We start from the raw sequence: 11854 nt of genomic DNA, 5'->3' as shown, positions 1-11854 counted from the left end.
CCATCCACCCACCTATCCATCCATCCATCTACCCACCCATCCATCCATCCACCCACCCATCCATCACCCACCCATCCATCCACCAACCCACCCATCCATCCATCTATCCATCCATCCATCCATCCATCCACCCATCCATCCATCATCATCATCATCCATCTATCTACCCATCCATCATCTACCCATCCATCCACCCACCTACCCATCCATCCAGATACCCACCCACTCACCCATTGATCCATCTATCCATCCATCCATCCATCCATTAATCCATCCATCCACTCATCCATCATCATCCATCCACCCATCCATCACCCATCCACCCATCCGTCCGTCTGTCCGTCCATCCATCCATCCATCCATTCACTCATCCATCATCATCATCCATCCATCCATCCACCCATCCATCACCCACCCACCCATCTGCCCATCTGTCCATCCACCCATCCATCCATCCAACCATCCATCCATCCATCCATCCATCCATCCATTCACTCATCCATCATCATTATCCATCCATCCATCCACCCACTCATGTATCACCCACCCACCCATCTGTCCATCTACCCACCCATCCATCCACCCACTCATCCATCACTCACCCACCCATCCATCTACCCACCCACTCATCCACCCTTCCACCCAATCATCCACCCACTCACACATTCATCCATCCACCCGCCCATCCCCCCATCCACCTGCCCATCCATGCATTCATCCACCCATCATCCACCCATCACTCACCCATCTATCCACCCACCCATCCATCCATCACCCATCCACCCATCCATCCACCCACCCACCCATCCACCCTTTTACCATTTGTCCACCCATCTATCCACCCACCCATTCACCCATTCATTCATCCACCCATTCATCCCCCCATCCACCTGCCCATTCACCCATCCATCCATCACTCACCCATCTATCCACCCACTCATCCATCCATCCATCCATTACCCACCTATCCATCCACCCATCCATCCATGCTTCTACCATTCATCCACCCATCTATCCACCCACTCACCCATGCATCCATCCACGTGCCCGTCCCCCCATCCTCCTGCCCATCCACCTGCCCATCCACCCACCCGTTCACCCATCACTCACCCATCTATCCACCCACTCATCCATCCATCCATCCATCCACCCAGTCAGCCACCCGTCCACCCTTCTACCCATTCATCCACCCACCCATCTATCCACCCACTCACCCATTCATCTACCCACCTGCCCATCCCCTCTAATCTACCCACTCATCCACCCACCCACCCATCCATCCACAAGTCTTTACATTTGTGTTGGATGCTGTGTCAGGCACTGGGCACACAGTGATGTGACAGATTCGCAGCCTTAGGCTGACCAGAAAGTCAGTGAATCAAGAAATTGCTGCAAGTGAGGAAGTTGCAGCCCAGAGAGGTGGTGTGACGGGTCCAAGGTCACACAATTGACACAGCCAAGCTGAGATTTGAAGGCAGGACTGTCTATAACTGTGCTTCTTCCGCGCTGAACAAAGGGTGGCCCCACCCCACTGCCTCCACACCCTGTCCCTCTGTCCTTCGCATCTCCTGGGGTGGCCCTGCCTCTGCCTGCCCAGCTTGCGGGCAGAACTTGGCCATCCCATCCCCTTTCCTCTGCCCCAGGACAGCAGGGACATTTGCCTGCAGCACCCCAGGGCACTCGAGGGCCAGCTGCCAGCTGTCCCTCCAGGGGCTCGGGGACGCGTCCCAGTCCTTGGAGCTGGGGTGGGCATGGGGCGGCATGTGCTCCAGGCCTTGGGTTCTGGCCCCGCCAAGGCTCTTGGCAGAGCCCCTTGGTGCCAGCCTGTCGGTGTGGGTTTCAGTAGGCCGGACCCCTTTGAAGTCGGGAGATCCTATCCCCCAGATCTAGGGCTGGCCCCAGGGAGACCCCGGAGGAGCACGAGCGGCTCCTTTTCTCTCAGAAATAGGAACTGGCCCCTCTTTAGCCGGCCAAGCGCTCTGGTAACTCAAGAGCAGGTTGGGGTGGCTCTGGCTGGGGGTGTGGGGGAATGCCAGTGCCTGAAAGGAGGGGTGCCCCCACCTGGGCTCCTGCCCCCACGCTTCTGCCCCACCCCTGGCCGCTGCTCCCAACCCTCTTCGCCTCACCTCCTCTTTCAACCTGCTCAGTTTCAGCTATGGCCTGTGCACCCTCGAGAGCCAGGTTCTCCCCAATCTGCCCCTGGTCCCACCCCTGGCCCTTCCTTCCCAGCCCCTCCTGGGGCCTCTGCTGGAGAAGATCCCTCGGATTGGGTTGCCCCTCCCGTTTCCCTTCCTCCCGACCCCCACTCACTCCTGGCCAACCACACAGGGGGCTTTGGGGCCAGCCCCACCTGGGCTTGACTCTCAGATCCCGCACTCCTTGACTGTGGGATCCAAGCCCCGTCCCAGCCTCTCTGAGCCCGTTTTCCCACCTGTGAAATGGGGATGATCAGAGTCTTGACCTCACAGGGTGTGGTCAGAGGGTTAAACAGAACAACGCAAGCCACCTCATGGAGCACACAAACCAGCACGCAGTGAGTGCCTAGCAGACGTTTGCTCAGAAGCATGGCATCCCTCTTCCAGGAAGCCCTCCTGGATTGCGTGTGGTGTGAACTCCTCGGGCGTGTCTCCATGATCCTGCAATTCTCAAAGGGCGCCTGTCGTTCCACATCCTGGTGGCCATCCCCTGGGGACCAGGCCTGGGAGCCCTGCACACTCGGCTGCACTGCCCAACTGGAGTGCCACTGTCCAATTGGGCCTCCTGGCCTCAGTTTCACCAACTGTAAATGGAGGTTGGATCTGATGGGTCCTTGGGCCTGTCTGTGACACCCTGATATCAACGCTCACGCAGTCCCACTTGCAGCCAGGCATCCTAAGCAACCTGCTCCTCCTCCTTGTGAACGGTCCCAGCCCTTTCAGCTGCATCCATCCCTGGTGTGGGGTAGGCTTCATTCTCCTGGTTGTTTCTGCTGTCGTCAGGGCTGGCCCGTGCCTTCCCAAACAGCAGGGACTGGCTCTCCCTTTCTCCTCAGCCCCTCTGTGGGGAGAGCGGAAAGCGTGGGGTTCCAGGCGAGGGGGAGCTGCGGGAGAACTGCCCTTTCTTCCCTCGTCCCGGTGTGGGAGTGGGGCCTGGTGCATGTGCCCTGTCTTCCCCACACATGGAACCTGCGTGTGGCCCCGCTTTCCAGACATGGCACTGGGGAAGGACAGCATGGCTGAGAGCTGAACCTGCAGTTGGGATCTGGCCCCCACCTGCAGCCAGGGTCTGCTACTGTGTGCTGTGTGGCCTCAGGCCGGCCTCCACCCCTCTCTGTGCCTTCCTCCCTTTGGCAGAGGAGGGCATTGCGTGAGCCCCACAGGCCCCCGAGTCCTGCCTGGCTCAATCCCAGCTCCAAGGCCCTGGCCTGAGAGAGAAGAGTGGGGACATGGGGCCTTCTGGGTGACCTGAGCGGCTGCTCTGATGATGTGACTCTTCAGCCGAGGCTTGGCCTTGGGTGAGGGTCTCTCAGGCATGGCGTTGGGGGCATTCCTGGCTGTTGGAGGAACGTTGAGGAGGGGTGGAGTGCTATTGAGGGGGCAGACGGCGCTTCAAGGGGTGGGACCAGCATGGGCTTCAGGGGCAGGGAGTGGGAGGCTGCCGGGGGTTAGGGAGGCTGTCCACACCCAATCCCAGGGCCCCACCTGTCCCACCCTGGACACCACACAAGGGCCAAGAAATATGTGCCATGGGGTGGGACCGGGCTGGGAAGAGCAGCTGGGCTTCCAGGCCGAATGGGGGAAACTGAGGCTCACAGAACCTGCCCAAGGTCACATGGCAAGTCTGGGGAGCAGAGCCGGGGTCAGGATGTTGGCCTCCCGTGCTGAGCTCTCCCGGTCTGTTTGGGAGGCACCGGCCCGTCCTCGGACCAGCTCGGTCCAGTCTGTCGGTTCCCTCCGGCCTCTGGCTGCCCACCAGGGCTGATCCTGTCCGAGCTGTGTCACCCTGGGCACCGTCCCCTGCTGTCTGACCCCCCTTCCGTGGCTTGGCACGGCCCCTGAAGCCAGCTAGCCTCTCCCCGATGGGTGTGGAGCACAAAGCCAGATGCCATGTGTGCCAGCACCGCTGGGCAGCAGCCTCCGGTCCCAGGTCACCCGAGACAGCAAGGCTGGGAAAAGGGAGGAGTTCGGCTGTGCCCCGGCCTTCATCCTGAGCATCGTGTCTGCCCATCACACCCATCCGGCCCCATTCACAACTTGGGCAGGCGGCCAGGCTCACCCCAAACCCTGGTGGAGCCGAGCAGCCCAGGAGAAAAGCACAGGGGCCTCCCGTCTGTAGTCCTCGCCGTACGGGGCTGCAGCGCTGCTGCCTCCTGACATTTATTTCACAAACATTCTCCTTTCCTTTTGCTTCAAACGCTGCCGCTTTGCTTAAAAACTATCTGTTACCTGAGTGCTCAGATAAACCTTTGCAGGTAAAATTATATCTGAGATATGGCCCGGAGGGTAAGTTTAAGAATACGGCGCAAATTATCAGCTGCATTTATCTTAATTACTTTGGGGGAAAGTGGAGGCCGGCATTGGAGGGGCTGGGGAATGGTGTTCGTCCTGTCTTATCGGGGTGCCTATTCGAGATCCTTTAACAGGAGGGAGATAAGGGGGCACATGGGGAAAGAAAATGATGTCTTCGAAAATGACAGGGAGGTGGCCGGGGGGGCGGTGGGGATTTGTGCTTAAAGACGGAGCCCTGCCACCCACTGAAATTGCTGAGAGCTGGCACATGGCAAGAGGCAGGCAAGAACGGCAGCCCCCCTCTCCTCTGCCCCTCTGTGCCACAAAGGCCAATATTCAGGGGGTCATTACCCAGAAGGACACCAGGACCTCATCAGTGGCCAGGCCCCAACCCAGCTCTGCTCAGTCTCCTAGACAACCCTCCACGGCCTCACCGAGATGGGCCTTCAGCTTTAGCTCCAATGCCACCTCCTCCAGGAAGCCCTCCCTGACCACAGAGCTGTTGCTGTTGGTCCCGGCTCTGTAGATGGTGTCCATTTGCTGCTGTACTGTCCCCTGTCCTCACTGCCGGCATCACACCGGTTGGGGCCGCAGGTCTTCTGCTTGCCCCCATCCTGGGCCTGGCAGGGAGTTGGTGCTCAGGAGCCCGGGTAGAGTCCAGCTGGGGCAGCTGTTATTCCTGGGGTCTCCAGGAGCTGCTCCTTGAACCTGGGGCTCTAGGTTAGGGTGAGGGACCAATTCGGGTGGGCTGCAGGGTGGGGACAGGCCTTCCCTGTGAGCACACACGTGGACACACTCATGCACACATATACAGGTGTGTGCAGTTATGCATGCTCATCCATGCACACGCGTGAGCACATGCTCATACGTGCATACATCCACACATGCCCATGCACACGTGGGCTCACGCACACTCCCCTGCCAGGCCATGGGGGGCTTTGGGGCCTCATTTCTATAGGAGACTCTGAGAGCTCCCCGGCACTGGGAGGTGGAGGTGCAACTGTAGCATGCTGTCCAGAAATGACTTTGGAGACACAGCCTACCCTCTAAATGTCAATGCTGTACCGGAGCCCAGCAAACGCCAGCTGCCTCCATCAGCACATTTGTCTGAGGGTCCTTCTCCCCTGCCCAAAGGGTGTAGGAAGAGGGACCATGTGCGGGGAGCGAGAAACGTTTGGGGGCCGCCCCGCCAGGCATCTGGCTTGCGGGGACTGGATTGGGATTCATTGGCCCCAGGAACCTTCTAGCAGAGCCAAGGTGAATACAGCCAGGCGGGTATCCCAAGGCTGAGACGGCTCGTCCAGGGTGTGGAGGTGGCAGGTGGTTAGAATGGGCAACGGTGCCCACAGCCCCAGAACCCACTTTAAAATCCAAAGACGGGGGTGCCTTTCTCTCATTGGCCGGTCGAGCAGCCCTGCCTTGGATTTCTAGAATGAGGATCGTTGAGGGTGACTCGGTCAGTGTGCCCACTTCACAGATGGGAACAGTGGCTCAGAAAGGGTGTGGGCCTGCCCCAGGCCACACAGTGGCGGAGCCTGGGCTCTTTCGCCCCTGGCTTTGAGCTCCCTTGCAGCGACGCTCTGGGCAGGGTGGGTGGGGGCCTTGCTCTCGGCCTCCTGGGGGAGGCCCAGCAGACAAACAGTCCTCCATGTGCCAAGCAGCAGCTCTGGAAAAGGGCAGGCGGTGCCCAAGTCTGCCTTTCTCTTGGAGCTGTCAGCCCTCACCCTGTCACAGCGAGAAGGAAGCCGAGTACCACGGAGACTCCACGGGACCCCAGGAGGACGCCCTGAGTGTGTGGGTGGCTGACCTTGACCTGACAGTCCCAGGCCCTGGGGTAGACGCCGACCGCAGGACAGGCCCCTGCTCAGGCTCTGGTCCCCCAAGAGGAGCCCTGGGTACCCCTCCCGGGGAGCGAGCGTGCCACTTCCTGCAGGACCCTTCTGCAGGCTGGGTCCCGTGGAGGGAGCCCTGGAAGGGCGAAGGGTGCGTGGTCCTGCGGGGTTTTGATTTTGTGGGCAAGGTTGTTACCATCCCTCCCCTAAAACAACCAATCACCACGTGACTGCTTGTTGATGCTAGAAACCCTAGTTATTTTCCATTACTCTTTCCCAATGAAGCCCTGCGTGCAATTTCTCACGGTAATGGTGGTGGCGTCTGAAGTGGCTTCTTTCAGTGGTCTTTTCTGGGGCCTACCCAGACTCTCTGGGTCAGAAGCTTCCGGCTAGGCCCAGAGCTTGCCTTGGAGATCCTGCCGAAGTCACACACCACTAAGATCACAACGTGTGACAGTGTGAAGCTGGTCTGGGTGGGAGGTAGGACGGGAGGCCTGGGTGTCGTCTGTCTTCCAGCGTGGGGAAGCCCCAGCAGGCCCATCTCACAGATGAGGACGCCCGGGCAGCAATAGCGTAAGTGAACTTCGAGCAGCCACCTGGATTCCCCTGTGCCGTCAAGTGGCCTCCTGAGAAGGTCACGGCCTCTGGTTTTTGGGAACGGAGCCCATCCCACCTCGAGTGAGGTCTCTGCATGAGAAACCGGGACCGATGAGGCCTACATGGGGGTCACCTGGTCCTCCCACTGCCCCAGCCGAGGTTTAATGAGCTGTCTCCTGAGTGACATGATTAATGGGTTTCTGCGACGCCTGGTGGCTGCGTTAATTACTCTCCCGCTGCTGTGGGGTTCGGAATCATATCAGCCTCCTTTTTCAATTAAAAGTGATTATAATTTTGCCTCCTAAGGACGAGAGGATTAGTGAAGTGCCCGGGGTGGGAGCTGGGTGGGGATGGGGTGTCCGCACTCTGGCTCTGCAGCGCTGGGAAGCGAGTCGTCCTGGGAGGGGCCGGGCTGCGTGCCTGCCGCCCCAGCTTGAGGAAGGACACTATGAGCACCGACTGTGTGCCGGGTGTGGCCTTCCAGGCAATCGGTCCAATGATCATGCGGGGCTTGGGAGCTACACGCCTGGAAGAAGCCGTCGGTCCCGGTTTGCAGATGAGGAAATGGGCCTCCAGTGTCAGTGCTGGGTTCCAGGGCACATGGCTGAGATGTGGGGCTGGGACGTGCACCCAGCTCTGGTCACTTCCGGGCGCTCTCCCTGCTCCTGAGCAGGCTGGGTCCGTGTCCTCCTGCCCCTGGAAGACATCCTGTCTGGGTGGCCACCTGGAGTGCCAGCTGTGATTTTCCAGACACTTTGCAGAGGGGGCCTGAGTGACAGGCATTCCCACTGCACTGCCATTCCCAGGCTGGGGGCTCAGTCTCAGTGTGTTCAGCTGTAAAATGGGCACAGCACTGCCCCCCGCAGCACAGGCCCCTGGGTTCCCAGGACACAGAGCCTTCTTCCCTCCTTCAGCCAGGGGTGGAGTCTGGCTGAGGTTTGAGGAGGGGCTTGGGGGAAGGGCCCTGGCTCCTGAGGTTGTGGGGCAGGGTGGTGAGCCTTGGGCAGTTCGAGGCCCTGGGCGGCAGGCTGTGGTGGAGGCTCCCGGCCCCTCTCCAGGACCTCGCTCAGCTGTGACCGGCACTGGCCTGACAGATCCTGAGATCCCGGAGGGTCCCTGATGTTCCGGGTGGTCACCGGGCCAGCACTGCCTCATGAATCCTCTCAAGGCCCCACAAGGTGGTTCTGTTCCTCCCCATTGCTCAGACGAGAAACCGAGGCTCAGAGAGGGGAAGGGACTTTTCCAAGGCCACACAGTGGGAAGTGGCACCCGGGACCGGAGTCTCTGCGAGGCCGAGGCAGTGCCCTTCCCTGTTGCAGGTGCCTCCTCGAGGCTACCTGGGCCCTGGCGCGGCTGACCCTGCTGTTCCCACTCGCTGTGTGGCCTCAGCTGGTCTCTGGGCAGCTGGAAACTGGAGGCCTGGCCGTGCTCCCCTCTGCCCCGCCCTAACTGGCTGACCCATGGCCCTGGGAAGGCAGGGCCGGGTGGCAGTGGACGTCTGGGCGGGGCTGTCCTGCGTGGACCTCTGGCCACAGTGGCCTGGTGAGGGGTGGCCCTGTGCCGCCCGGGCACTGAAGAGCCCTGTTCCCTGGGGCAGGGGAAGTTACCCCCCACTGGGACGTCCTTCTGGGTTCGGCCTGTTCTCGAGAGCAGGAGGCCACAGCCAGGACAGAGGAGGCCTCTACGGTGCCAACCTGAGGCCACAGGGCCTGCCTCTCCCTCGGACCCTCCTGCCGTGGGGCCCGCTCCCAGCCATAGCTTGCTCCCAATCCAGGGCAGCTCTGCCGGGCCTGGGGGCCTCTGCCCTCACGGCTCTCTCCCGGGAGGCTGCCACCTTTCAAATCCCGGCGCCACAGCATCCCTGGGCCTCCAACAACTCGAGTCTGCGGTCCCCAGGGCTCTTTGGGGTGGAGGTAACGAGACTGTGGCCTCCTCCAGGTGCCCCCGAGGCCAGATGCCTCCACCCCACACCAAAGTTTGTTCCCGTTTCCCGATGCCCAGCAGGTGTTTGTGTTGGAGACTGAAGCCCGGGCGTGATGGGATCCGTGGCCGTGATCTGTGGCCGTGTCCGACCTGGAGGCCCGTGGCCTGCAGGGAGCAGCCTGAATCCAGGTGGGGGCTTTGGGCTCCCAAGGTTGGACTCTACCCTGTCTTCCTGGGGACTCGGGATCTAGGCCCTGAGGGTGACAGGGTGTGGACCCACTGCAGGCAGCCAGCCCTGAGGGCCTGCAGCCTCCAGCTGTCCTTCAGGGAGTCCCAGACCCGAGGGTGTAGGGAAAGCTCGGATGCTGAGGGTCCCAGACGGCTCCACCGCATGGTCTTGGGGTTGTCACTGGCCAGGTGGCAGCAGGGCCCTTCTCCTCACCCCTCTTGGTGGAGGCTCAGGGTCACTGTCTCTAAGTGCCACCATAGCGCCTGCTTCCATGGCACCTGCCTCCATGGCACCTGCCACCACACTCACACAGCCCTGGGGGCTGGCCCGGTCGCTCTCCCCACTGCTGCGGAGGCTGCAGAGGCCTCTGTGGCACTGCCCAGGCCCTGAGGCGCGGAGCCCAGGAGCTGGGATGTCCCTGGGTCCTGCACCCTCCGGACCACAGCTGCAGTCAGCACTGCCACAGTCACCCCATTTCAGAGCTGAGAAAACCGAGTTCAACGCCCAGCTAGAGGCAATGGCGGGACTGACTGAACCTTGCTATAACGCTGCCCCCAGCTCTGCAGGACACCCTCCGAGGCTCACTCTGGACGGAATCACTTCTCCAGAGGCCTGGGTTCACAGGCAGGCAGGACGGCGGGGCCCAGTGGGGCTGAGCAGGGCTGCCACAGAGCCCAGGGCTCCCTGCTTTCAGAAAAACACAGAAAACACATCTGTGCTGGGAAAGCCACGGTGCGCCGGGCCTCGGCCTGCTGGGCCTCTCCTTTGCTGTCTCCTCACTCCTGCGTTCCTCCTGCCACCTCCAGGGCCCACAGGTGGGTGTTTTGAGGGTGAAGGGAAGAGAGAGGCTGAGGGGAGAGACAGAGCGGGTCTGTCCTGGAGTGTCACTGCCCAGGCCGCCAGCCTCAGCACCCAGCCATTTCCTGCTGCTCTGCCTTCTTGGTCCCGGCCTCTCGTGCACACGGGATGGCAGCTGTTTGTCCCATTTATCACGTGCGTGCGGGGACCCAGATTTTAATTAGCTTTACGCACGACTATGGCCCCCGTGCCTTGGATAAGGCAGAGATAATGGCCCAGATTTGTTCAAGGAAGGAGCAATGGGGATGCCACACCGCTAGTGCCTGGTCTGGTGTCGCCGTGGTGCGCCCTGGGTCTCTCGGTGACCCTCCCACTCAGGTGGGGGTCGCAGGGCTCCCATGCCCACAGTTGGATAAGCGGCCACTGCTGCCCGGGCCCCGGCTGTGGCTGTGGCTGCCAGGACACGGAGCACAGTGGCAGACTTTCTGATTTTTGAGAAATCCAGGTTTTAAAGTGAAATCTCCCCATTTAAAAACTTTGGCAAGAATTCATGTAAAACAAGTAACTACTATGTGGGCCGAAGCCGTCGGCATGGTTTATGGTGTGTGAGCGTTCTCTCTGGGCTGCACATTTTCCAAGCTGTCCCCGCCCTGACGAGGTCCCCCGTTCACCCACTCGCTCTTTCGGGTATATTGACCGAGTGTGGGGACATCGCTGTGGGTGAGACAGACTGCCCTCCCTGTCCCCCATGCTGCATGCTGCTATCCCAGGGCCCAGTCTGGGGCAACTCTAGGACAGAACAAAGGTCCCTGGCTCTATGGCTGGGTCTGGGCTGCTGTGCCCAGGAAAGGTCAAGGGTTTCTGGAACCGCCATTGGAGCAGGAAAAGCCTTCACTGGCAAAGACCTCATGAACTCCGATGCAGCAGGGTTCAGAGAGGTTAAGCGAGGTGCCTGCAGTCACACAGCAGGGCTCAGAGAGGTTAAGCGAGGTGCCTGCGGTCACACAGTAGGGCTCAGAGAGGTTAAGCGAGGTGCCTGCAGTCACACAGCAGGCTGTGGAGAGGGCACTGGGAAGGTGGGCACTGGGTGGCTGTGTCTGAGGCTGCGCAGAGGCCTGCATGGCCAAGTGGGACTGGCAGACGTGTTACTTCGGGCCTGGGACTGGAGAGGGGATGGCAGAGCAGGGTGGGCCTGGGACGGTGGGCCTGGGACAGGGGGCGTGGTGGGCTCCTGATGGAGGGTGGGGCTCTATGCTGGCCCCTGCCTCCCCAACTGCCTCTCCGGACCCCCCGCCCCCTGCACCTCCCTAGCCTGAGGCTGACTCGGCTCTGGCAGGAGACAGAGGCGAGACCAACAGGGTCTTGGGACCCCAGGTTCGCCAGCTGGACCTGGCCTTGCTGTGCGACACCACGCCAGGGCTCCATGAACATCAGGGTTTCGTCTCTTCTGGGAAGGCAGGGCAGGCTGGTGGGGGCCCTGTGAGGCCCCCAGAATGCTGAAGGGCAGAAGGGGACCCCAGGTGTGGGCCTGTTCAGCTGTGACAGAAAGGGAAACCAGGTGGGGGCCTCACACACTCCCTACAGATAAAGAAACCAAGCTCAGAGAGGGTGAGACACTCGCCATGGACACAGAGTGAGAGGCCCCAGGCCCTGCAGCACTTGGGCTGGCATCCACCCTGCGCCACCTCAGGCCACCGCCGTCTCCTGCCCAGAAGATTTTGACACCTGTCTCCAGCTTCCTGGGGCTCCCTACACCCCGTTCTCCCTGAGGCAGGCCAAGGGGTCCTTCCAAACACACCTGAGGCTGCAGCCATGCGGGAGAGCCATGCTCACACCCACCCCTGCCCGCTCGCACCCCTGCCTGCTTGCACCCCTGCCCGCTCGCACCCCTGCCTGCTTGCACCCCTGCCCACTCGCACCCCTGCCTGCTCACCTGCCTGCCTGAGCCCAAGCATACACACCTCCTGGCCTTGCCCCTGCTGCCCCAC

At 61.1% G+C, this 11854-nt stretch overlaps 1 protein-coding gene across 2 annotated transcripts in view; it reads right to left on the bottom strand.

Annotated features, from left to right (window-relative positions):
- The window catches only part of ZNF469 (zinc finger protein 469), a 339823-nt gene that overhangs the window by 17515 nt on the left and 310454 nt on the right, over nt 1-11854 (bottom strand). The gene's annotated exons all lie outside the window — the stretch shown is intronic.

This window comes from Homo sapiens, chromosome 16 (assembly GCF_000001405.40).
Source record: "Homo sapiens chromosome 16, GRCh38.p14 Primary Assembly".
Lineage (NCBI taxonomy): Eukaryota > Metazoa > Chordata > Mammalia > Primates > Hominidae > Homo > Homo sapiens.
This window is presented reverse-complemented; position numbering and strand designations above follow the sequence as displayed.